The sequence below is a fragment of the Homo sapiens genome, chromosome 1, assembly GCF_000001405.40.
Source record: "Homo sapiens chromosome 1, GRCh38.p14 Primary Assembly".
Taxonomy (NCBI): Eukaryota; Metazoa; Chordata; class Mammalia; order Primates; family Hominidae; genus Homo; species Homo sapiens.
This window is the reverse complement of record NC_000001.11, coordinates 244,355,630-244,381,352: the sequence shown is the minus strand read 5'-3', so window position 1 is coordinate 244,381,352 and position 25,723 is coordinate 244,355,630. Positions and strand designations below refer to the sequence as shown.

The 25,723-nt window shown below is 45.7% G+C and overlaps 1 protein-coding gene across 9 annotated transcripts in view, besides 1 other annotated feature; it reads right to left on the bottom strand.

Annotated features, from left to right (window-relative positions):
* The window catches only part of SPMIP3 (sperm microtubule inner protein 3), a 37,029-nt gene that overhangs the window by 8,311 nt on the left and 2,995 nt on the right, over nucleotides 1–25,723 (bottom strand). For 2 of the 9 annotated variants that reach the window (XM_011544125.3, XM_011544128.3), the window contains exons 2-4: nucleotides 16,597–16,665; nucleotides 5,886–5,981; nucleotides 2,714–2,910 (exon numbers count right to left, since the gene is read on the bottom strand). In XM_011544125.3, the coding sequence (XP_011542427.1) occupies nucleotides 2,714–2,910; nucleotides 5,886–5,981; nucleotides 16,597–16,652 (349 nt within the window). In that variant the 5' untranslated portion in view covers nucleotides 16,653–16,665. Of the gene's footprint in view, nucleotides 1–2,713; nucleotides 2,911–5,885; nucleotides 5,982–16,596; nucleotides 16,666–17,373; nucleotides 17,651–25,723 lie in introns of all 9 variants that reach the window. The other 7 variants (XM_017000571.3, XM_011544124.3, XM_011544129.4 and 4 more) reach the window with 7 other exon arrangements.
* Nucleotides 18,834–19,659: an enhancer, noted in NCBI's record as "OCT4-NANOG-H3K27ac hESC enhancer chr1:244524996-244525821 (GRCh37/hg19 assembly coordinates)". NCBI's record gives its function as "activates a minimal SCP1, AML or CMV promoter by ChIP-STARR-seq in naive H9 embryonic stem cells {active_cell/tissue: H9 hESC(naive)}" and the evidence as "EXISTENCE:reporter gene assay evidence [ECO:0000049][PMID:30033119]".

Here is a 25,723-nt window from a genome sequence, read left to right as displayed (position 1 = left end):
AGGTCACTTTGGAAACTGGAGGCGCACCTAGATTTCCTTATGCAAAGGGAACAGCTTTCAAACTCCCAGTTGGTCTTGAAAGGACAGCGTGCTCAGCCAGTTCTGTGGGGACCGGAACCCCATTGATGCTTTCTGGCCACCTCTTCTTTTTAGCCCCCTCCTCAGCCCCCAGCAACTTCTACTGCCCCAAGCCTCGTACATCCTTCAGCCCTAACCCGTGTCAAGCTAATCCCCAGCTTCCATTGCCATAGCCCTCCCCAGGGCTCCTTGGGACGGCAACCCCTACCACTCTGCACGCCCTCCCAGCACCTCCTTTCCCAGTGACCTTGACCTCAGCCCCAGCCTCCTCCCCAGCCCCTCAGCTCCCGCCGTGATCAGGCTCCAGTCGTCTCGGAGCCTCCAGAACCCAGCTTTGCCCTGCTTGAAGCCTCTCATCCCAAACCCCTGCTGGCAACCTCTGGCCCCCATGGCTATTGCCACCCCTACCCCTGGCTCAACTCCCCCAAGATCCACCTCTCCCTCCCTTTTCCTGATCTTCCTGATGGCTGCATTTGCTGTTCCCTGGGACCCAGGGGCCCAGCCCAGGCCATCTCCTTTGGCATTCCATATTTTAAGTAAATGGAAAGAGACACTCTTTAAAGAAGACTATTAAATAAATAATAGTACAGGTGACGCTCAGGTGTGACAGAGGCTCTGTAGCTTCTGAGTCAAGCACAGCTTGAAATGACCTGGGGCTGAATTCTGCTTCTCCTACCGCCTAGCTGTGTGACCTGGGGCTAGTTAATAAACTGCCTCTGACTTGGCTTTTCCTACAGTAAAATTGGGAAAATAGTAGGACTTTACTTCAGGGAGCTGCTTTCAGGACTAAATATGTGCCTGCCACAGTGTAAGAGCCTCCAAAATATTGAGGTTTACTCATTTTAAAAGTCTGTTGGCCAGGTGCAGTGGCTCACGCCTGTAATCCCACCACTTTGGGAGGCCAAGGTGGGTGGATCACTTCAGATCAGGAGTTCGAGACCAGCCTGGCCAACATGGTGAGACTCCGTCTATACTAAAAATACAAAAATTAGCTGGGCATGGTGGCGCATACCTGTAATCCCAGTTACTTGGGAGGCTGAGGCAGGAGAATCGCTTGAACCTGGGAGGTGGAGGTCCCAGATGGTGCCACTGCACTCCAGCCTGGGCGACAGAGTGAAACTCCATCTCAAAAAAAAAAAAAAAAAAAAAAAGAAAAACTCTGTGAATGAAGTAATTCATCCCAAGAACTAAAATTCAAAGCACCAATGACAGCAGGAACACAAGCAATGCTTTAATTGGTGTCTACATGTCCTCCCCCAAGGTCCTATACGTCGGGGAGCCTCAGTCCCTTTCAGTATTTTTTTTTTTTTGACAGTTTTGCTCCTGTTGCCCAGGCTGGAGTGCAGTCGCACGATCTCGGCTCACCGCAACCTCCGCCTCCCAGGTTCAAGCGATTCTCCTGCCTCAGCCTCCCGAGTAGCTGGAATTACAGGCATGCACCACCACTTTGTATTTTTAGTAGAGACAGGGTTTCTCCATGTTGGGCAGGCTGGTGCTGAACTCCTGACCTCAGGTGATCCGCCTGCCTCGGCCTCCCAAAGTGCCAGGATTACAGACATGAGCCACTGCGCCTGGCCCCCTTTCAGTATTTTTTTACATGCTGCAGCCTCACATATTACAAGGGGAACTTAGAATTTTTGAAACATGCCTCCAAATGTCAAATCATTGTCATAAAGTTTGAAATCGGGAATAAGAAAAGTTCCCTTAACAGTATGTTTAGGCACAATAATGATTTTGTCATGTGACAAGGGGCTCAGTGAAGAGTGGTCAACCAGGTGTGGTGGCTCACACCTGTAATCCCAGCACTTTGAGAAGCTGAGGCAGGAGGATTGCTTGAGGCCAGGAGTTTGAGGCCAGCCTGGGCAACAAAGCAAGACCCTCATCTCTATAAAAAAGAATTAAACAATTAGCTGGGTGCAGTGGCTTATGCCTGTAGTCTCAGCCACTTAGGAGACTAAGCCAGGAGGATTGCTTTAGGCCAGGAGTTCAAGACCAGCCTGGGCAACATAGCGAGACCATGTCTCTAATTTAAAAAAAAAAAAAAAAAGGCCGGGCGCAGTGGCTCAAGCCTGTAATCCTAGCACTTTGGGAGGCTTAGGCGGGCGGATCATGAGGTCAGGAGTTCGAGACCATCCCGGCCAACATGGTGAAACCCCGTCTCTACTAAAAATACAGAAAAATTAGCCGGGTGTGGTGGCGGCGCCTGTAGTCCCAGCTACTCAGGAGGCTGAGGCAGGAGAATGGAGTGAACCCAGGAGGCGGAGTTTGCAGTGAGCCGAGATCGCACCACTGCACTCCAGCCTGGGTGACAGAGCGAGACTCCGTCTCAAAAAAATAAAAATAAAAATAAATAAAAGATAAAAGAAAGCGTGGTCAGACTTGAGACTGTGTGTTAATAAGGATATATGCATTTCCATCCTCCCTGAAGTCTCCTCTGCAGGGAACTAGGTAGCGGGGAGCCTTGGGAAGCCCCCTAAATTCTTCCTGCACCCCAGAAACACACACACACATATCCATGCCTCCAACTCGACTGGTCCCAAACAGGCTCCCTGAGACAGCAAGCCTACAGGAGATGCTAATCTGTGGCCCAGGCAAGGTTAATCTCAGAGAGTTAAGAGCAGTTGGCCTGACTTACCAATCTCATAAAATGGCAGAGAATAGTCTCGTCGGTAAGTGGTTTCTTTATACCATGGCTCGGCAGGCTTTGAATGTCTTCGAAGACAAATATATCGAATGAGTGTTTGTTGGTCTAATTGAGGCTGATAGTGATATTTTGTCTTGGGTGGAATTGTCAAGTCTATGAGCGGTCTAAATGGAAATAGAAGTAGTTTGCTGAAAAGCCAGTAGAAAAAAGCAGTCCATTTTCTCGTCAGCTGGAATCCATTCCCTGGAAACGGCCGTGAGGCTAACAGAGAGTATTGACAAGACTCCCACAGCTCTGCGACCAGCCCTGGCAAAGCTGCAGTAGATGGTTCAGGGACTTCTGTTCCCTGTTCTTCCCTTTAGCATCCCTCCTCCTCTCCAATGACAGGTCCTAGGAGGTGATGCGTATCACACTCTCCACTAGATCCACCCGTGCACAGCCACTCCCCGCGCTCCAGAGGTCCCCGGTGCCCTTTCCCAGTGTAACTGTTCTGCGGATGTTTGTTGCTTCAAGGAACCAGTGCAGGCCTGGTGTGGTGGCTCACGCCTGTAATCCCAGCATTTTTGGAGGCTGATGGGGGCAGATCGCTTGAGCTCAGGAGTTCAAGTCCAGCCTGAGCAACACGGTGAAAACCCATCTCTACAAAAAAATACAAAAATTAGCCAGGCGTGGGGGTGTACACCTGTAGTCCTAGCTACTAGGGAGGCTCAGGTGGGAGGATCCCTTGAGCCCAGGAGGCAGAGGTTGCAGTGAGCCGAGACTGAGCCTGGGTGACAGAGCCCGACCCTGTCTCAAAGAAATAAATAAAATAAAATAGGAATCAATACAACTGGTTAGACTAACCACTATGTGCCTCTTGGGGTTTGATGGACCTGAAATCATTACAACCTTCCTGTACCCCTACTCAAATAGGTATCCCTTGGAAAAGAAAAGCAAAGAACAACCAAAATGTAGTGGCAAAATATCGCTTGTGGCAGTATACCTTCACTGGTCCAGCTTTGGTGATATATATTAAGACCTTGAAAATCTGCACATATTTTATCCCAACAATTAGGATGTCAACAAAGACTTAGCTCTAAGAATGCTTGTCAAAGTGTTTTTATGATAATAAAAAGAGTGGGACAACTTGCATGTAAAAAAATAGGAAATTATTTAGACAATGACGCAGAAATATGTGGGAATGCCATGCCACCATTAAAAGTGATGCTGTGGCCGGGCGTGGTGGCTCACGCCTGTCATCCCAGCACTTTGGGAGGCCGAGGCAGGCGGATCATGAAGTCAGATCGAGACCATCCTGGCTAACACGGTGAAACCCCATCTCTACTAAAAATACAAAAAAGAATTAGTCGGGCATGGTGGCGGGTGCCTGTAGTCCCAGCTACTCGGGAGGCTGAGGCAGGAGAATGGCGTGAACCCGGGGGGCGGAGCTTGCAGTGAGCTGAGATCACGCCACTGCAGTCCAGCCTGGGAGACAGCGAGACTCCGTCTCAAAAAAAAAAAATAAAAATAAAGTGATGCTGTACGACTGGGTGCAGTGGCTCATGCCTGTAATCCCATCACTTTGGGAGGCCGAGGTTGGCGGATCACCTGAGGTCAGGAGTTCGAGACCACCCTGGCCAACATGGTGAAACCCCGTCTCTACTAATAATACAAAATTAGCCGAGCGTGATGGTGGCCGCCTGTAATCCCAGCTACTCGGGAGGCTGAGGCAGGAGAATCGCTGAACCCAAAGGCAGAGGTTGCAGCGAGCCGAGATCACGCCACTGCGCTTCAGCCTGGGCAACAAGAGCGAGACTCCATCTAAAAAAAAAAAGGGGGATGCTGTAGTATAGGATTATAACTTTTGAAATGGAAAAAAGTCCACGATACATTAAGTTTAAACAAAGGTTTCAATTGAATTATGCATTGAATTGAATTGAATTCATTCAATTGAATTAAATGGATAAATCGTATGGTATGTGAATTATCTCAATGCAGCTATTACCAAAAATAAAAATAAAAAGGTTTCGAAATACCCATCCCGTCCCACTTTGATGTAGATCTGGATGATTCTGCAGGATTATCTCTGGGTGATGATATTGTGGGTAATTTTCAATCATTCCATTTTTGACTGTGAATGTTTTCTAAATGTTCTCATAAACGTTTATGTTTTTAAACTATAAAATAGATGAGATGAGCTGCTGTTGATGTGAAAAATATTAAGTGTTGGCTGAGATTTAGGAACATCTAAATCTAAACGAGTGAGTAGCCTTCTGTGAGTATATCGCTGTGAACTCATCACACTTAGAGGGGAGATTAAGACTGCTTCATCATCAGTTATGTTTGCCTGATGGGGTAACCTTGATTGTGATGGGCCTTCTTTAAGAAAGAGTGTGTTAGCAGAAATGGAGAGGCTGTGCCTGACGTTCAGAAAAAGCAAGAACAAGAATCTGACCGTGCTCGTGGGGTACTGAATGGGGAGAGATGCTGGATGATGGGAAGGTGCTCTGTTGTGGATGGGCCTGAAGAATCATTGAGAATACCCACCCACCTCTGCTTGTTCTTATTTCATGCTTAACAGGTACCTGACCTTGTAAAGTAGGTGCCTTGAATGATGGGTGAGAGTACTCCTTTTCCTACAAAAGAATGTCTCCCATAACACAAAATAAGGTCAAAGTGCCTATGGGCTGGGTGCAATGGCTCATGCCTGTAATCCCAGCACTTTGGGAGGCCAAAGTGGGCGGATGACTTGAGGCCAGAAGTTCGAGACCAGCCTGACCAACATGGTGAAACCCTATCTCTACTAAAAATACAAAAAAATTAGCTGGGTATGGTAACGTGTGCCTGTAGTCTCAGTTACTGGGGAGGCTGAGGCATGAGAATTGCTCGAACCTGGGAGGTGGAGGTTGTGGTGAGGCAAGATCTCGCCACTGCACTCCAGCCTGGGCAACAGAGCAATACCTTTTCTCAAAACAGCAAGATATAAAATAAGAATAATCTCACCACTCATTAAAAAAAAAAACATTAACAGTTTGGTATATTTTCTTGCAAACCTCTTCTATCCATTATTATTTTTGCTATCATCAGTATTATGAGGAGTAGTGTATCTTCCCCCCGCCGACCCCTTTTTATCATTGTAGCTTTCGTGACATTCTTGGACATTGGGATTGAGGAGGTGTCTCACCTGGGAGCTCTCTTTGCACTATGATCAAAATGGAGTCTTGCCAGCTGCCCAGGGTAATAGCCTTGAACGTCTCTTCCTTGGTGAGCGATGAATATACTAGAGCAGAAAGTGAGGAGGTGAGAAGAAAGCCATTCTTACAATTAGTTCATTCCAGAAGAATGCCAGCTGCGGCATAATACAAAACGTATTTGGTCTTTGTCCCCAGTTTCTGGCACTGAGCCCCTAAAACCCATGGAATTTCCTGATAAGGGTCTTTTTCATGCATAACCAGCCCTTTTCTACCATAGCTGAGTGTATGGGCCTCGCAGGCCTCCCTCCTCCCACCACAACCTCCCGCATCTGTAATAAAATGTTATTTATGTTCAGGATTCATAAGGAAATATGTAACATATCAGGTATTAGGTTCAAAACGTTAGGAAAAAAATTAATAAGTGGATATATAAAACCAGTGGGTGGGCAAGCCTATTTCTGGAATAAAATGAAATTAAATGAAAAGAAAAACAAAAAATAAGAAATAAATAAATAAAACCAATGGGGCAAATGTTGATAACAGTTGAAATGTGGGAATCGGGCTGGGCACGGTGGCTCACACCTGTAATCCCAGCACCTTGGGAGGCCAAGGTGGGTGGATCACTTGGGGTCAGGAGTTCGAGACCAACCTGGCCAACATGGTGAAACCCCATCTCTACTAAAAATACAAAAAAAAAGCTGGACGTGGTGGCACATGCCTGTAATCCCAGCTACTGGGAAGGCTGCGCCAGGAGAATTGCTTTAACTCGGGAGGCAGAAGTTGCAGTGAGCTGAGATTGTGCCACTGCACTCCAGCCTGGGCAACAGTGCAAGACCCTGTCTCAAAAAAAAAAAAAAAAAAAAAAAAAAAGAGAAATGTGGGAATCCGTAAACGGAGGGCTCTGTCTGAAAAAAGTACATAAAAATAAAAATAATAAAAGAAATGTGGGAATTGGTAAATGGGAGCTCATTATACTGGTTTTTTCTACTTTTGATGTTTACAAAATTTCATCTTTTTTTTAACTGTAACAAATAAGTCTGTAAAGACTAATCGTGAAGCAGCACTGTGATGTCAAAGCACAAGGCGCTTGCAAGCCTGGGAGGGGGACTCGAGCCCTGTCTAGAGGCTGGATTTTGAGGAGTTTTGGGAGCATCATTGAGCTAACATGTGGGGACTGGGAGGGAGCACTTCTGTGGGGTGAACGTAAGAAGAGGTGGGACAAGGGTGGGTGGTACAAGTGGAATACAACGGGGCTGAGGGAGGCCAGGCTGGAGGGCAATGGTGCTCAGGTTTTATGCTTTAAAATACATCTCATTTTATTTTATTGTATTTATTTATTTATTTTGAGACGGAGTCTCACTCTGTCGCCCAGGCTGGAGTGCAGTGGCCCAATCTCAGCTCACTGCAACCTCCGCCTCCTGAGTTCAAGTGATTCTCCTGCCTCAGCCTCCCGAGTAGCTGGAATTACAGGTGCCTGCCACCACACCGGGCTAATTTTTGTATTTTTAGAAGAGATGGGTTTCACCATGGTGGCTAGGATGGTCTCAAACTCCTGGCCTCAAGTGATCCGCCCACCTTGGCCTCCCAAAGTGCTGGGATTACAGGCATGAGCCACTGCACCCGGCCAGAAATATGTCTCATTTTATAGTACATTGCTTTTCCTTTTATATTATAGTTATAAGACTGTAATGAGATAGGTTGGTGTAAAAGTAATTGCGGTTTTTGCTATGACTTTACTTTCAATGGCAAAAACTGCAATTACTTTTGCACCAACCTAATATTTTTAAATTATATGTGGTTGGTTTATATTATTTACAGATTTTATTTCAGAAGAATAGCAGAGATATTACAAAATATCTATTATTAAAAAGGGGGTATTGTGTCTGAAAGTTTGAGAACTACTGATGGAGGTGATAGGAATCTTTGTGAGGTTTGCTGTTGTTTGTTTTGTTTGCTTTTAGAGATGGAGTCTCACTGTTGCCCAGGCTATAGTGCAGTGTGATCATAGCTCACTGTAGCCTCTAACTCCTGGGATCCAGAGATCCTCCTGTTTCAGCTTCCTAAGTAGCTGGGAGGGACTACAGGCATGTACCATATGCCTGGCATGCATATATATATATATATAATTTTTTTTTGTAGTTTCACTATGTTGCCCAGGCTACTTTGTGAGATGTTTAACAAGGTTCATGACATGGTAGAGAAAGATCTTTTTTGATGGCAATGTGGAAAACCATTTTTTTTAAAAGACAGGGTCTCATTATGTTGCCCAGCCTGGTCTGGAACTCCTGGGCTCAAGTGATTCTCCCGCCTTGACCTCCCGAAGTGCTGGGATTGCAGGTGCGAGCCGCTGCACCCAGCCAGAAAACAAATTTGAAGACCATGTGACTAAAAGCAGAAAGACTGCTTAGGAAGTGATTGTAGTGCTTTATGTGGGACATGACGAAGCTCTGATATGATGGAAATGTGGATGGAGAGGATAGGGCTGATTGAGGATATTTTAGGAGATAGGATGGAGGGTAAAAGACAGGGAAGTGTCCAAGACAAAGCTGCATCTTCAGGCATTGGAAAGAATCCTGCCTTTCCCCAAGAGAGGGAACACAATAAATGGCCATCATTGGGAAGGTGACTTTATTGAGTTTGTGATGCCTGGACATGTGGGGTCTTTCGGGATGTCCCACAGATTCTGAGCAGTCAGTAGATGCCATAAAAATTCAAAGTCAGGAGGCTGGGCTCGCGCCTGTAATCCCAGCACTTTGGGAGGCCAAGGCGGGCGGATCGCAAGGTCAGGAGTTCGAGACCATCCTGGCTAACGCGGTGAAACCCAGTCTCTACTAAAAATACAAAAAATTAGCCAGGTGTGGTGGCGGGCACCTGTAGTCCCAGCTATTTGGGAGGCTGGGGCAGGAGAATGGTGTGAACCTGGAAGGTGGGGCTTGCAGTGAGCTGAGATCGTGCCACTGCACTCCAGCCTGGGGGACAGAGTGAGACTCCATCTCAAAAAAAAAAAAAAAAATTCAGAGTCAGTAGAAAGTAGCACATCATTTTGCATAACGTATCTCACTAAATATGTGTTAGATAATGGATGAAAACTGAAACTATGCCTTCAGTTCGACTCAACCAACATTTATTGAATGCACACAAAACACCCTGCACTATGCTAGGCTCTGCAGATACAAAGCTGACTAAGAAGCAGCGCTTGTCCTCAAAAAGCTCTTCACATGCTGAAATAGTGATCTGAATAAAGGGTCCATAGGACACAGAAGAGGGAGGAGTATCTAGATCTAGGACTCGGATAAGCAAAGGGGTTGGGGAAGAGATTCCAAGCAAAGGGAATTATAGGGGCCAAGACATGGACAGAATTAGGTTCTGAGTGGAGTGTATGAGGGCTAGAGTGGGCCTGACTGTCTAGCATGAAAGGCAAGCACTGAGCAGGGCGAGTTCTGTCTCTGTCTGTGCAAAGACGACCTCTGGGAGCTCTGATTTGCAGAAAAACCACAGGCTGTCTGGGCCTGCCCAGTGGCTGGGATAATATGACTGAGCCCTGGATGGTAAATAACAATGGGGTATTAAGTCATAAGAAGAGAGAGGAACTGGCACAATAAAGGGAACAAATGACATTTCTGAATGCACAGGGGTGGGACACGTAGCTTTCTTAGGCACCTATCCATTTTCTGAAGCACCACCTTGGAATATTACCCCAGGGCCACATTACAGTTTAAGAACCCACCTAAAGGATGCTGGTTTCTACAGTTGCTGGGCTGTGGGCGGTGGGCTGGGTTTTGACCATGGCGTGCATACAAACAAACACCTGCTGAATACAGGTGAGTAAACTCAGCGCTGCTCCTTAGAAGCAGTCAGTAAAAGCTGATTTGAGGATAAAGAATCCCAGCACCAGCACCAAGTAATCCTCCCTGCCACCGCCCCTTGGCAGTGTCTCTTGGCAGGTTTTGGGAGGAGTGAAAAGAAAATGGGAAGGTGTGTGTAAGGAGATGGGTGTGGAGAGAGGGATGGCTGGGTGGAGAAGAGAGTTTTGACCTCCTAAGGGGAAATGTCTAGCCAGGCCAGAGGCTGTGCATTACCCGGCCTCAGTGAATGATTGTGAAAGCACGTGCGGACTCTTCAGACTTGGCTGTGGAGGCCAGCCCAGCTCAGGGCTCTGCTCAGAGTGATTCTGTTGAACCCGGGTTTTAACCAGCTGTAGAAAGCCCTTTCCTTCTCACTGGGCAGGTGCAGGCACCGTGCGTGATTTTGAGTCCCTGATGGCTTGGCTTTTTGAGGTGATGTATTCAGTCCACATGAGAGCAAACCTGTTCCCTGGGAGGGTGGCTGTAAATGGAGTGGGATCTGGGCTTAGCCACAGTCAAAATTCAATATCTATAGGAGAGGCCAGAGGTGTCGGTCCCTCCAGAGCCTGGCCCCACAGCCCCAGGTAGCCTGTGTTCCTGTGACCACGCTCTTCTCTGTTACGGCCCTGCTGGGGCTCATCCTCTACAGAGCATTTTTACAGAAATGATCTCACTTAATCCTCACAGTCACCTTGCAAGGTAAACATGATTAACTCTCTGCTTTATAAGAATAGCCCAAGTCTCAGAAGGGTTAAGTGGACTTTTTAAGTAGTAAAGTCCACTTAAACAAGTAAATGCCAGCGCCGTGTATCAAACCCAGTTCTCCAAACTCCATGTCGCTATTCTGCCACCCGAGGGTATGTGTGATGATTTGTTTTAATAAGAATTCAGTGCTATTTTCATACAAACTCTGTGATTCTCTCATTTTGGGGCAGACAGCAAATAGACATTGTACACTAAAAAATAGGAAAAGCCATAAAGACACAGCAGTGTTAGCTGGAAGATGCTTTTAACTCAACGAAAAGCACTCACTGCAAGCTCTGCTGTGCCTCCAGTGGGCTAGGCACTAGGGATACAGTGATGACAATGTTGTCTTTCCACTCAAGAGTTCATAATCTGGTCAGGAAAGCCACGTTTAGGCAACTATCTAATCACAGACGATGTGGTGAGTGCTACGCCTGATAAGAAACTGAGGCTCAGGGGAAGTAAATAACTTAGCTAAGGACATGAGCTAGTAAGTCCAGAAGACAGAACTAAAGGAAGGACTAGGAAGCCTCCAGACCTGTGCCCTCATCTCCCAGGCTCTGCCGGCTCCACAAGAATCTCCTCAAGGGAGTGGGGAGCCTCAGTTTCCTCATCAGTAAAATGGGAATGATACTGTCTTCTCCTTTAATGATTGCATGAGAGTAAACGAGACATTTGTACTTGGTGGCTAACATCTCCCAAGGTGTTGGTATTGATACAGGAGATGGAAATTATTTAGGCAGATGGAAAGGGCAACAGAGTCCTCGGCGGAATTTCCCTTTTAACAAAAAGCAGCCCCAAAGTCATTTATTTTCTAACAAAGAGTAGCCTGTAAAATCATGCTGCAGACATGAATAAGCAAGCTGGAAACTTGTGTGGGTGAATGCTGGCAGCTGTGCCCATAGAAAAGGGCTACCTGAGGGCCAGCATGTTCAACATGGAGGCGCCATCTTCCCCTTTCTCTGTCACCACGTGTATAGTACAAACAAAAACAGGCAACTGAACGTGACCCGGCTAGGCAGAGAACCCATCTACATAATAAAAGATTAGGGTGGGGCGGCCAGCTTCTTCACGTGCCATGCAAACAGCACACCTAGTCCTAACCAGTTCTTCCCACATTATGCAAACACCACACCTAGTCCTAACCAGTTCTTCTCACGTTATGCAAATGGCACACCTGGTCCAACCAATCTTTCGTGCCCTATGTAAATCAGACACCACCTCCTCAAGCTCGGTTATAAAACCTGCACTTCACCAGGGACCAGAAGACCCACTGCGACTCCCTCTCTCTGTAAGAGAGAGATTTTCTCTTTCTTTAGCCTATTAAACCTCCGCTCTTAACCTCACTCCTTGTGTGTTCACGTCCTTGATTTCTTTGGCGTGTGGCAATGAACCACGGGTTGTACCCCAGAGAAATGACGCTGCTCCAATATCATCCCACGCAGGATGGGCTGACCACACAGTTGCCTCTGGATCTTCAGAGACTGTTTCGATCAAAGTTTTAAAAGTCTATTTAAATCACACACAAATTCTGTATCTTCGATCTTCTACAACACACTGAATTTAATCCACTTAAAGTGATCTTTTCAGGAGTATCCTGGGTTCCACAAACCAATGCCACACCCAGCCCTTCTCTGAGTGACAGGCCTCCAGCCTGTAGCCAGGGGATGGCACCAGTAAACAGTTGCATATAATATGATTTTTTTTTTTGAGACGGAGTCTGGCTCTGTCGCCAGGCTGGAGTGCAGTGGTGCAATCTTGGCTCACTGCCACCTCTGCCTTCCCAGGTTCAAGCAATTCTCCTGCCTCAGCCTCCCGAGAGGCTGGGACTACAGGTGTGTGCCATCACGCCCTGCTAATTTTTTGTATTTTTAGTAGAGACGGGGTTTTACCATGTTGGCCAGGATGGTCTCAATCTTTTGACCTCATGATCCGCCTGCCTCGCCTGCCATAGTGCTGGGATCACTGGCGTCAGCCACCGCACCCGGCCAATATGATGATGAATACAAGAATTTTATGTGGCCACTACTAAGTGTGAACCATTTAATATTTACTTTTATTTAGTGTCCCAAAACCTCAGTTTTCTGTAGCGTAGCTCTGAGGCTTGGCCATTTAAGGATGAATTGGATACATGCTTGTGCAGAACCACACAAGGGCAGGCTCAGGTGCCATCAGTCACCAGGGGTACACACCACACATAAACGATTGGATAACTTTGCTCACTCATTCATTTCAATATTTTCAACAACCGTGCCTACAGGGCCTACCAGGAATGGTAATCTGCAAGGCAGAGGTCATGATAGTGAGTTGCAGAGAAAGGGAAGTAAGCCCTGCCTGGAGGGCTAACCTGGAGATGTGGCAAAATGCAGTGACCACAAGCACAGACGTGAGTTTAAGTCCCATGTCCGCCAGTCAGTAGCTGTGGGATCTGGGGCAGTCATTTAACCACACCGTGCCTTGGTTTCCTCATATGAAACTCACAGTAGTGAAGGTTAAAGGAGTTCAGATGCACCTAGAACAGTGCTTGGCACAGAGTAAGAGCTTCAGAAGTGTTTACCATTATTATTCCAGGGGGTGAGACAGGCAGGATATAAAGAAACAGATAAAGTAGGCCAGGTGCAGTGGCTCAAGCCTGTAATCCCAGCACTTTGGGAGGCCAAGTTGAGTGGATCATTTGAGGTCAGGAGTTCGAGACCAGCCTGGCCAACATGGTGAAACCTTGTCTCTACTAAAAATAAAAAATTAGCCAGGTGTGGTGGTGGGCGCCTGTAGTCCCAGCACTCGAGAGGCTGAGGCATGAAAATCACTTGAACTCAGGAGGCAGAAGTTGCAGTGAACCAAGATCATACCACTGCACTCCAGCCTGGGTGACAGCGCAAGACTTTGTCTCAAAAAAACAAAAACAAAACAAAACAAAACAAAAAACCAAAAACCTTTCCTTCCTGAAACCCGGATGAGGAGGAAGCAGGGGAGAGAGGAATGGAGTTGGCTCCAGTATTTCCTGATTGTCTCCCCACAGCGTTTGCTCTTTCTGTGTGTGTTTGAGATCTGTTTTGTTCACTGAGAGGCCTATTTAACTGTGGTCTTATCTGGGGAAAATGGAAACAAACCTCCATTGGCCACTCCTGCCTAGTGCTCTGTGGTGTCTGGACCTGGCCGGGAGTCCGGGGGTTTGGGTGGAACTGAGCACAGCAGGCCCTGGGGCCCCTGGAGGCCTAAGGCTGGGCTGTCTTCTGCTCTCTGGGGCTTGTCCTCCGAGCCGCACGTGGGTTGGGGGGCACACTGACGGCTCCGGCTCTTCCTGCACCTGAACTAGTCTTGTTGCCCCCACCCTCCGCCCATAGTGCGCACCGTGAGGCAGCTCTGTGTGCCTCTCCTGACCTGTGGGTCCAATCAGCAAGTCCGTGCATTCCCCCTCCAGGCTGGATCTCCCATGGGACGGCTTCTCCAGCCCACGGCCACCCCTTGGTCCAGCTCACCATTGCCTCCCCCTGCTCTCTGCAATAACCCCCACTCTTGTCCTCAGACAATCTGTTCTCAGAGTGAGCTTCATAAAAGTAAATCGGATCAGGGCCCTCCATTGCATAAAACCCTTCAACCCATTGCATGTATAATAGCATAAAACCCAGACTCACTATTGTAGGCCACAAAGCCCTCCGGGAACTTCTCCTGCCTCTACCGTCCCAACCTTCTCCCAGCTCCAGCCCCTGTGTCATCATGTCATGGCTTCTTTCATGAATCAGGGATTTTGGACCTGCACTTCCTCCTCCCTAGACCGCACCCTTCTCCCACCCCCTGCCCCTATCACCCAGCATCATGCTCGGCTGACAACTGCTGAGAGAGCTGTTCCCTGAACACCCTGGCTAGAGAAGGTATTCTCCTTCTGCCTACCTCTCCACCTGATTATTCTCCCTCACACCCTTTTTCATTTCCTTTATCACAACTTCCAATTATTCTATCTGTTTAGTTTTTCTTTCTTTCTTTTTTTTGAGACAGAGTCTCATTCTGTTGCCCACACTGGAGTGCAGTAGTGCGATCTCGGCTCATCGCAACCTCTGCCTCCTGGGTTCAAGCGATTCTCCTGCCTCAGCTTCCCGAGTAGCTGGGATTCCAGGTGTGTGCCACCACGCCTGGCTAATTTTTGTATTTTTAGTAGAGACAGGGTTTCACCATGTTGGCCAGGCTGGTCTCGAACTCCTGACCTCAAGTGATCCACCCGCCTTGGCCTCCCAAAGTGCTGGGATTACAGGCACGAGCCACTGCATCAGGTCTTAAAAGAAAATTCTTAAGATGTAGCCAGGAAGGACACATCCATCCATTCACTCCTTCTGTAGTTTCTGGAAGAAGGACTTCTCTTTTGTTGACCAAACATGGCTAAAATAACTCAATATTAAAATAAACATGAGGCTGGGTGTTGTGGCTCACACCCATAATCCCACACTTTGTGATACCAAGTGGGAGGACTGCTTGAGGCCAGGAGTTCCAGACAGTCTGGGCAACATAGTGAGACCTGGTCTCTACAAAAAATTTAAAAATTAGCCAGGCAGCTTGTAGCCCTAGCTACTCAGGAGACTAAGGCAGCAGGAAGATCAGTTGAGCCCAGGAGTTTGAAGTTGGACTGAGCTATGATCCAGCCACTTCACTCCAGCCTGGGCAACAGAGCCAGACTTTGTCTCTAATAAATAAATAAAAATAAAATAAACTAAACACGAGGCTTGCTCAAAGCCACAAAGCCAACGGGGCTACAGGAGGCTGACCCCCATGTCATGGTGTGAGGTTGCTGTCACAAATTTATAGCTACTACACTGCTGCAGACCCGTCGAGGTGGTGAAGGGGGAGTGGGGTTAGGATTTACGGACTGTCATCTGATACCAAATTTAGCACAACAAGACAGATCTAGGGCTTGTTATTCTTGTGCCATAGAGGACCTTGAAGAAAGAGCGAAACAGCTCCTTAGTTTCCATCTGTGCCGTCAGCTCTCATCAGAGGAAGCACAGGAGCAGTTTGTTTTCCCACAAGCAGAGTAAAATGGTCCAATCCAAAATGTGGGCTTGGATTGCTCAGACTTCTCACTAAAGCTCTTCCCAAGCAAAAACCAATATCCTTCTGGTCTTTTGGGAATTTGGAGTTGCCTGTTTGCTTGGATTCTGCAGTGAGTGTGAGGCTTCTTTTTCTTACAACTTTCCCTAAACCCAATGTGGAGGCTAGAGCAACTCTATGTTGGATGCTAATTCACCATGTTGGCTTCTGATTAACCCCTTGTATTAGCCCATTTTCATACTGCTATGAAGAAATACCCGAGACTGGGTATTTTATAAAGAAAAAGAGGTTTAATGGACTCACAGTTCCACACGGCTGGGGAGGCCTCACAATCATGGCAGAAGGCAAAGGAGGAGGAAAGGCATGTCTTCCATGGCGGCAGGCAAGAGAGTTTGTTCAGGGGAACTCCCACTTATAAAACCATCAGATCTCGTGAGACTTATTCACTGTCAGGAGAACAGCATGGGAAAACCCCACCCCATGGTTCAGTTACCTCCCACCAGGTCCCTCCCACGACACGTAGGAATTATGGGAGCTACAATTCAAGATGAGATTTGAGTGGAGACACAACCAAATCATATCACCCCAGGCCTCTAAGATTTCCAGTTTCTCTATAGTTCCTGGTGTCAGAGCAGGTACTTACTGTAAGTTCTGCCCTTCGGCCAAACAACATTGGTGTTATCGTACTTCAATTGTCCCATATATCCCTTCTGTATCACTCTTCCCCTATGGTATCTAAATCCTGGGTCTCAGGGGTAATGGCGCAGACATCCACCATCTCATCTCACTGCTACCCGAGACACATATATGGCTTCTGTTCGTAAGTCCCTGTTAAATATTTCTTTGTAAGAAACTGGATTTGTCAGCCTCTTTCTTCGGCGTCTCAGCTTCCTCTGACTTTTGCCGGTAGGTTTGCACAGACCTGCTCATCAGGAAATATCCAAAGAGCTTCCCTAGAACTCCCTGGCAGTAGTCTCTGGACCACTGAGCAGCAGGATGTGCAATTCTAACTCCCCAGGCACCTGGCTGCCTGGCTTCAGTCCCGGAGGCTGTGCATCTGGAAGAACTATACCTTGGCGGGATCACTGGGCGACGCTCAATAAATTCTCGTAGTCGGATGGCAGTCATGATGGATGGGAATCTGAAAAAAAATTATGGCATAAAGGATTATATTGCCAGTTTATACATAATTCCATGGGTGAGATATCTAGTACCACAAAGTCCATCTTGAAAGAAATCAGTAAAAATATTTGACATGGTAGAAGGACTATGCATATAGGCTATTTAGGGAAGGAAATACAAGATTAGAAAGGAGCAAAAAGAAATGGCAAGCATAAGGCAAATACACACAGATGTGCTTTTCTTTAAAAACCAAAAGTAAAAAAAAATTAAATAAGTATAAATCAATAAGAAAATAAAAAGCAGGCCGGGTGTGGTGGCTCACGCCTGTAATCCCAGCACTTTGGGAGGCTGAGGTGGGAGGATCACGAGGTCAGGAGATCGAGACCATCCTGGCTAACACGGTGAAACCCCGTCTTTACTAAAAATACAAAAAAAGTAGCCGGGCCTGGTGGCGGGCGCCTGTAGTACCAGCTGTTTGGGAGGCTGAGCCAGGAGAATGGTGTGAACCCGGGAGGCGGAGCTTGCAGTGAGCCAGGATCGTGCCACTGCGCTCCAGCCAGGGCCATAGAGTGAGACTCCGTCAAAAAAAAAAAGAAAAAGCAAAAGCAAAGGTACTGTGCTAATGTTAGCTGGGCATAGTCTCCTGTCTCACTTCATTGTTTTTTTGGTTTTGTTCTGATCAGTTGTGACCCAAGATCCTGTCTCATTTCTTAGTGGGCCTTCCTACCTCACAAGCTTGCAAGCTAAGCACGACATTTCCCAGAGTGCCTCACAACAAGAATCCCGGCTAGGAGTGAGCGCCCTTGCATCGGCTGTACTTGCTTGAGATTTGGAAGGTGGACATTAGGCAGAGGCTGCTGCCTTGATCTTCTCTACTGGCAAGCAAGGTTGTGGAGCATATGGCACTTTTCCAGCGTCTCATCTCCAGCTTTGGGGCATTCAAGAAGCAATTGTTGCGAAGGCAGTGGCTGAAGTCTGTGTCCCAGGGTTCAAATTCCAGCTTCCTAGGTGGCAGAGACAGTGGCGTTGGGAGTAGGTTCTTGAACTCAATACTCCTGGAAGCAGCTTCCTGATCTGGACTGACATAGCTTTACCAGTGATGGGTCAGTTTTGTGGAGATGTTCTAGATGCCTCCTGGGGGCCCCACCCAGAGCCTGTTCTTCCAGCCCTTCTGAGGATTTTTTGTAAGCCATTCATTCTCTATGTTAGCCCCCTTTCTGTTCCCCACTGACCCTAGACTAAACATATAGGTTGTTTCTAGTCTAAAATTTCATATCACATCTGATTGTTTGTTTGTTTTTCACAGGGCCTCACTCTGTCGCCTAGGTTGGAGTGCAGTGGCACAATCGTGGCTCACTGCCACCTCCACCTCCCGGGTTCAAACAGTTCTCCTGCCTCAGCCTCCTGAGTAGCTGGGATTATAGGCACCTGCCACCATGCCCAGCTAATTTTTGTGTTTTTAGTAGAGATGGGGTTTCACACCATGTTGGCCAGGCTGGTCTTGTACTCCTGACCTCAGGTGATCCACCCACCTCGGCCTCTCAAAGTGCTGGGATTACAGGCATGAGCCACCGTACCTGGCCCACATCTGATTATTTACTGGAGAATATGGCTTGCCACAAGCAAACTACTACATTTAAATAATCACATAAAGTGGTGAGACCCCAACTCTATGAAAAATACAACAACAAAAAAAAAAGCCTGGTGTGGAGGTGCATGCCTGTGGTCCCAGCTACTCAGGAGGCTGAGGCGGGAGGATCGCTTGAGCCCAGGAAGCGGAGGTTGCAGTGAGCCAAGATCACACCACTGCACTCCAGCCTGGGTGACAGTGAGACCCTGTCTCAAAAAAAAAAAAAAAAAAAAGTTCACAGGGAAAAGAGTAAACAATGAGAAGGAAAACTGAGTGGCTGGGGGACAAAGGCATACTTTTTACCATTTACCTTAGGAATTTTGCACTCTGCATATCTATTATGTATGCATAGACAGCTGGGCCTATGGTTTGCACAAACATGGCTAGTGGTGTAGCAGGAGAACATCGGACTGAGACCCATGTGACCTGCGGCAGGTCATTTTCCCACTCTCCACATTGATTACAATAGCTCTCTGGAGGGTTGAATGAGGCAAAGATGTGTGCGAGAGTGTTCTGTGTCCTTGAAAACATCTTTGAGAAAGGAGAAATGTGAGTTCCTATTGACAATCATGGATTATGTACCAGGTAACATGTATTAACTCCTATTAGCCTCCCAGCAACCCTACAGAGTTTTACTGCTATTTACTCCCAAGAAAATTGAGGTACTAAGAAGTTAAGTAACTTGTATGAGGTTACCAAGGAACCAGGGCTGGAACCCTCTGGCTGCAGAAATATTTATTTTAACTCTTAGCTCTATCAAAACAATCACAAGGCACCCAGACCATCAGCCAAAACAAAACTAGGACTATTCAGTAACCAGGAGACAGAAAGGACTGGAAAAAAAGAGTGTGTGATGTCTCCTCCTCTTCCCTTTCATAGACAACGGTTAACTCATTGCCTGCCGGCTGGCCAGCTGCTTTATTTCACCTGAGTGTGTTTTTCAAAGCAACTTGAAGATTTTAAACAGCATTACACTATAATGGAATAGTTGGCTATCCAACAGAGCCTAATCATTATATAATGTACTTTTACTGCTGTGATTATTTAAAAAAGAGAGAGAGAGAGAAAGAGAAAGAAGGAAGAAACAATGAGAGAGAAAATCTGAGTAAACACAGCTGAGCTCTTGGTTAATCTGCTAACCCGAACTCCGAAAGCTTCGTGACTGGAGTTTACTTCAGTGGAAGTGACAGGCTGGACAGAAGAATGCCAGGTATTCAGGGCTTTTGAGCTCCTAACAAAGACAGCCCCCACTATCCCTTTGAAGACAGAGTGAGTGCTCAGTGCCTAGAAATTCTGAATCAGTCTTGTAAGGGAATAAATCGGTCATGGGTTGCCATGCTTTTTTAACAAAAATTTTTATTTTTAATTATTATAGATATATAAGAGATGTATGTATTTATGGGGTACATGTGCCATTTTTATATAAGCATACAATGAGTAATGATCCAATCAGGGTAATGCGGGTGTCCATCACCTCAAGAATTTATCATTTCTTTGTGTTAGGAACATTCTAATTCCACTTTTTAAGTTATTTTGAAATGTAGAACAGGCCGGGCGCGGTGGCTCACGCCTGTAATCCCAGCACTTTGAGAGGCCGAGGTGGGCAGATGACTTGAGGTCTGGAGTTTGAGACCAGCCTGGCCAACATGATGAAACCCCGTCTTTACTAAAAATACAACAATTAACTAGGCATGGTGGCGCATGCCTGTAATCCCAGCTGCTTGGGAGGCTGAGGCAGGAGAATCCTTGAACCCAGGAGGCAGAGGTTGCAGTGAGCCGAGATCGAGCCACAGCACTCCAGCCTGGGCAACAGAGGAAGACTCCATCTCAAAAAAAAAAAAGAAAGAAAGAAAAAAAAGAAATGTACGATAAATTATAGACAATAGTCACCCATTGTGCTACCAAACACTGATCTTTTTTCTTCTAACTGTATTTTTGTTCCATTAACCATCCACCGTTTATTCCCTCTTCCCCACTCCCCTTCCCAGCCTCTGCTAACCATCATTCTACTCTCCGTCTCCGCAAGTTCAATTCCTTTTCTTCGACAAGTTCAATTTTTTTTCAAGCTCCCACATATTAGTGAGAACAAGCAATATTTGTCTTTCTGTGCCTGGCTTATTTTACTTGATATAATGTCCTCCAGTTCCCTTCATGTTGTTGTAAATGACAGGATTTAATGCTTTTTTTTTTTTTGAGACGGAGTCTCACTCTGTCACCCAGGCTGGAGTGCAATGGCGCAATCTCAGCTCACTGCAATCTCCGCCTCCCAGGGTGAAGCAATTCTCCTGCCTTAGCCTCCTGAGTAGCTGGGACTACAGGCACCTGCCATCATGCCCAGCTAATTTTTGTATTTTTGTAGAGATGGGGTTTCACCATGTTGACCAGGCTGGTCTTGGAACTCCTGACCTCAGGTGATCCTCCCGCCTCAGCCTTCCAAAGTGCTGGGATTACTGGCATGAGTCACTCTGCCCGACCGATTTCATGCTTTTTTATGGCTGAATAATATTCCATGCATGCATGTGTGTGTGTGTGTGTGTGTGTGTGTGTGTGTGTGTGTGTGTGTGTGTATATCACGTTTTCTTTATCCATTCATCCATTGATAGACACTTGGGTTGATTCCATAGCTTGGCTATTGTGAATAGTGCTGCAATAAACACAGGACTGCAGATATCTCTTTGATATAACAATTTCCTTTCTCTTCGATATATACCCAGCAGTGAGACTGCTGGATCATATGGTAGTTCTATTTTTAGTTTTTTGAGGAACCTTCATACTGTTCTCCATAGTGGCTGTACTAATTTACATTCCTACCAACAGCGTATGAAGGTTCCCCTTTCTCCACATCCTCAGTAGCATTCATCATTGCCTGGCTTTTGGATAAAAGACATTTGAACTGAGGTGAGATGATATCCCATTGCAGGATTCATTTGCATTTTTCTGATGATTAGTAATGTTGAACTTTTTTTTTTTAGATGGCGTCTCGCTCTGTTGCCAGGCTGGAGTGCAGTGGTGCGATGTTGGCTCACTGCAACCTCCGCCTCCCGGGTTCCAGTGATTCTCCTGCCTCAGCCTCCCGAGTAGCTGGGACTACAGGCACGCACCACCACGCCCAGCTAATTTTTTGTATTTTTAGTAGAGACAGGTTTTGCCATGTTGGCCAGGATGGTCTCAATCTCTTCACCTTGTGATCCGCCAGCCTCGGCCTCCCAAAGTGCTGGGATTACAGGCGTGAGCCACCGCCCCGGGCCATGTTGAACTTTTTTTTTATACACCTGTTAGCCATTTATGTGTCTTCTTTTGAGAAATGTCTATTCAGATTTTTTGCTTATTTTAATTAATTAATTAATTTTTTTGAGGTGGAGTTTTGCTCTCATTGCCCAGGCTGGAGTGCAATGTCGTGATCTCGGCTCACTGTAGCCTCCGCCTCCTGTGTTTAAGTGATTCTCCTGCCTCAGCCTCCCGAGTAGTTGGGATTACAGGCGCCCGCCACCACACCCAGCTAATTTTTTGTATTTTTAGTAGAGGCGGGGTTTCATCATGTTGGCTAGGCTGGTCTCGAACTTTTGCCCTCAGGTGATCTGCCCACCTCTGCCTCCCAAAGTGGGATTACAAGCATGAGCCACTGCTCCTGGCCCTTTGGCCTATTTTAAAATCAGATTTTCTTTTCCCTATTGATTGTTTAAGCTTTTTATATATTCTGGTTATTAATCCCTTGTCAGATGGGTAGTTTGCAAATATTTTCTCCCATTCTGTGGGTTGCCTCTGGTTGCCACGCGATGCAAGCATTTTTAGAGAAATGCATTAGCAATGGTGTTTGAGTCCAAGTCTATGCTCCTACAATAATCAGAGGACCTTGTCTGGGAGTGGTTACCGATCTTTAGAGAATTTCCTCTACCTTATGTGAGGGATACCAAATCACTTTTTTTTTTTTTTTTTGCCATTAATCATAATCTCTTGGACACATAAGGAAGTGTAGTTTGCAATAAGATATATCAGTACATTTTATTTTAGTCAATCTTAAAAAATATAGCCCCATACCAAATCTGAACGTGGTAACTCAAGTATGAACATATGGTAAACTTACCATCACTTTCATGGTCACAGCCAGTGCTGTACAACTGTTGTTCTCAGCACCAGGAACAACATAACTTTCATCTCCCTGAAAACATTTAATTTTTTAGTTGCCTTAATAGAAGATTCTCGCTTAGACATGCCCCAAGTAAAATTCTTCCAAAGCAAACAAAAGTGCTGTCTGTGCCCTTGCCCTACCATTCACTCAGTTTCAGTTATTCCTAGGAAATCTTTGAAGATTTTTATTTACAACTGAAAACATTGTATGCCCAGAGTAAATAATGCCATAAGACAATATTAGAACCATCCATGAATTCTACACATAAACAACTATTTTCATGTTTTTGTATCATATATATGTGTGTGTATATATATATATACACACACACACATACACATACATACTTAATTTTTTTTTTTTTTGAGACACTCTCACTCTATCACTTAGGCTGGAATACAGTGGCGCAATCTCAGCTCACTGCAACCTCTACCTCCTGGGTTCAAGCAATTCTGATGCCTCAGCCTCCTGACTAGCTGGTATTACAGACATGCGCCACCACGCCTAGCTAGTTTTTGTATTTTTAGTAGAGAACAGGATTTCTCCATGTTGGCCAGGCTGGTCTCGAACTTCTGACCTCAAGTAATCCACCCACCTCGGCCTCCCTAAGTGCTGGGATTACAGGTGTGAGCCATTATGCCCGGCCCATACATATTTAAACCACAGCAGATATTCTATTTTGTAATTTTTAATTTTCTTTTCTTTTCTTTTTCTTTTTGAGACAGAGTCTGGCTCTGTCACCCAGGCTGGAGTGCAATGGCGTGATCTTGGCTCACTGCAACCTCCACCTCCTGGGTTCAAGTGATTCTCCTGCCTTAGCCTCCCGAGCAGCTGGGATTACAGGCGTGTACCACCATGCCTGACTAATTTTTTTTATTTTCGTTTTTAGTAGAGATGGGGTTTCACCATGTTGGCTAGGCTGGTCTCAACCTCCTGGGCTCAAGTGATCCTCCCCCTTCAGCCTTCTGAGTAGCTTGGACTGCAGGTGCATGCCACCACACTCAGCTAATTAAATACTTCTTTTTTCTTTTTTTGTAGAGATGGGTCTCACTATGTTATCTAGGCTGGTCTTGAACTCCTAGGCCCAAGCAATCCTCCCACCTCGGCTTCCCAAAGTGCCGGGATTACAGGCCTGAGCCTCTGTGCCTGGCCCTATTTTATATTCGTTGTTTCTCATTGAACAATATATCATGAAACTTTTTCCACATTGCTAGAGTATTCTTTTTTTTTTTTTTTTTTTGAGATGGAGTCTCGCTCTGTCACCCAGGCTGGAGTGCAGTGGCACATCTTGGCTCACTGCAACCTCCACCTCCTGGGTTCAAGCGATTTTTCTGCCTCAGCCTCCTGAGTAACTGGGATTACAGGCGTGCTCTACCACGCTCGCCTAATTTTTGTATTTTTAGTAGAGACAAGGTTTCACCATGTTTGTCAGGCTGGTCCCCAACTCCTGACCTCGTGATCCACCCACCTTGGCCCCCCCAAAGTGCTGGGATTACAGCCGTGAGCCCCCTGCGCCCAGCCCAGTATTCTTAATTTTAATATTTAACATTCCTTTGTGTTGTTTAGTAAGGGCCATCCACCACTCTATTTAAAATAAGACTCCACTCCACCCCACTTCTGAACTCCTTTTCCCTGCCTTTGCTTTGTTTTTCTCCAAAACACTTATCCCCATTTGCCATACTGTACGTTTACTTATGTATCTTGTTTATATTTGTTTCAATCTCCATGGTGGGTGCAGTGGCTCGTGCCTGTCATCTCAGCACTTTGGGAGGCCAAAGTGGGTGGATCACTTGAGATCAGGAGTTTGAGATCAGCCTGGGCAACATGGCAAAACCCCATCTTTACAAAAAATACAATAATTATCTGGGCAGGTGGCATGTGTCTGTAGTCCCAGTTACTTGGGAGGCTGAGATGGAAGGATCACTTGAGCCTGGGAGGTGGAGGTTGCAGTGAGCTGAAATGATGCCACTGCAATCCAGCCTGGGTTACAGAATGAGACCCTGTCTCAAAAAAAAAAAAAAAAAAAAAAGGAAAAGAAAAGAAAAGAAGAAAGGGAAGGGTTGTCTATTTTGTCTACTGCTACAGCTGTCAGGTCAAAGATAATAATTAGCACATGGTAAACATTTGACAAATATTTACTGAATAACTGAGTGAGTTATAATTTATGAAACCCAATACCCCAATTTTGGACATTTTGGTCATGCTAAATATCTCTATGAATATATTTCATTCTATTGAATTTATTTCTTAAGGTACATTCCTAAGAATGAGTCAAGGCTTGTGCAGGTTCATGGCTCCTAGGAGGATTCAGCCACCTCCATTAACTAATGTTGGCCCCCAGACCACTGAGGTTAGACTTTCAGTGCACAGAAATTAAAATTTAACAATACAAGTTTTTATCACATTGGTGTTCAGAAGGTGAGCCAAGATAAATGAATTAAAAATGTATGTTGCAGCAAACTTCCTCAAAGTTAATTTTCAACATGCTGACTTCAGGAACAAATCTGTAAGATTTATTTTGTCAACTTTCTCAGTAGATTTTTGGCATTATATAATACGGGTTAAATCAAATTTCTATAATATACAATAATAGTAAAGAACTTAATAAAATTGACCCATTCGTGGTAAAATTTCTCAGCAAACTATGGGGAACCTTCTCAATCTGATAGCGAACATTTACAGAAACCTACAGCTAGCATCGTACATAATGGTTAAAGACTGAGTGCTCTCTTCCTAAAATTGGTGGCAAAGCAAGAATGTTTACTCTCACTACTCATATTAAACATAGTGCTGCAAGTCCTAGCCAGTACAATAAGACAAGAAAAGGAAATAAAAGGTGTACAGATGTCCTTAGCTGCAAATGACATAATTGTCCACGTAGAAAATCTCAAGAAATCTACAAATAAATTCCTAAAACCAACAGCTATGCTTAGTGAGATCATAGGATACAAGATTAATATGTAAAAAATCATATTTCTAGATAAATAAAAAAAAGAACAAACATTTAAAACACAACTATTTACAATTGCTTAAAAATGAAATATGTGAAAATCGAACAACACATATACAGGATTTGTATGCTGAAAACTATAAAATGTTGACGAAAGAAACCAGAGAAGACCTGAGAGGTAGACTACATTCATGGATTGGAAAAGAATATAATAAAGATCACAATTCACTGCACATTGATCTGCTTTATCTTAACAAAATCCCAGCAGGACTTTTTGTAGATATAGACAAACTTATTCTAAAATTTATTTGGGGCTGGGCGCGGTGGCTCATGCCTGTAATCCCAGCACTTTGGGAGGCCGAGGCTGG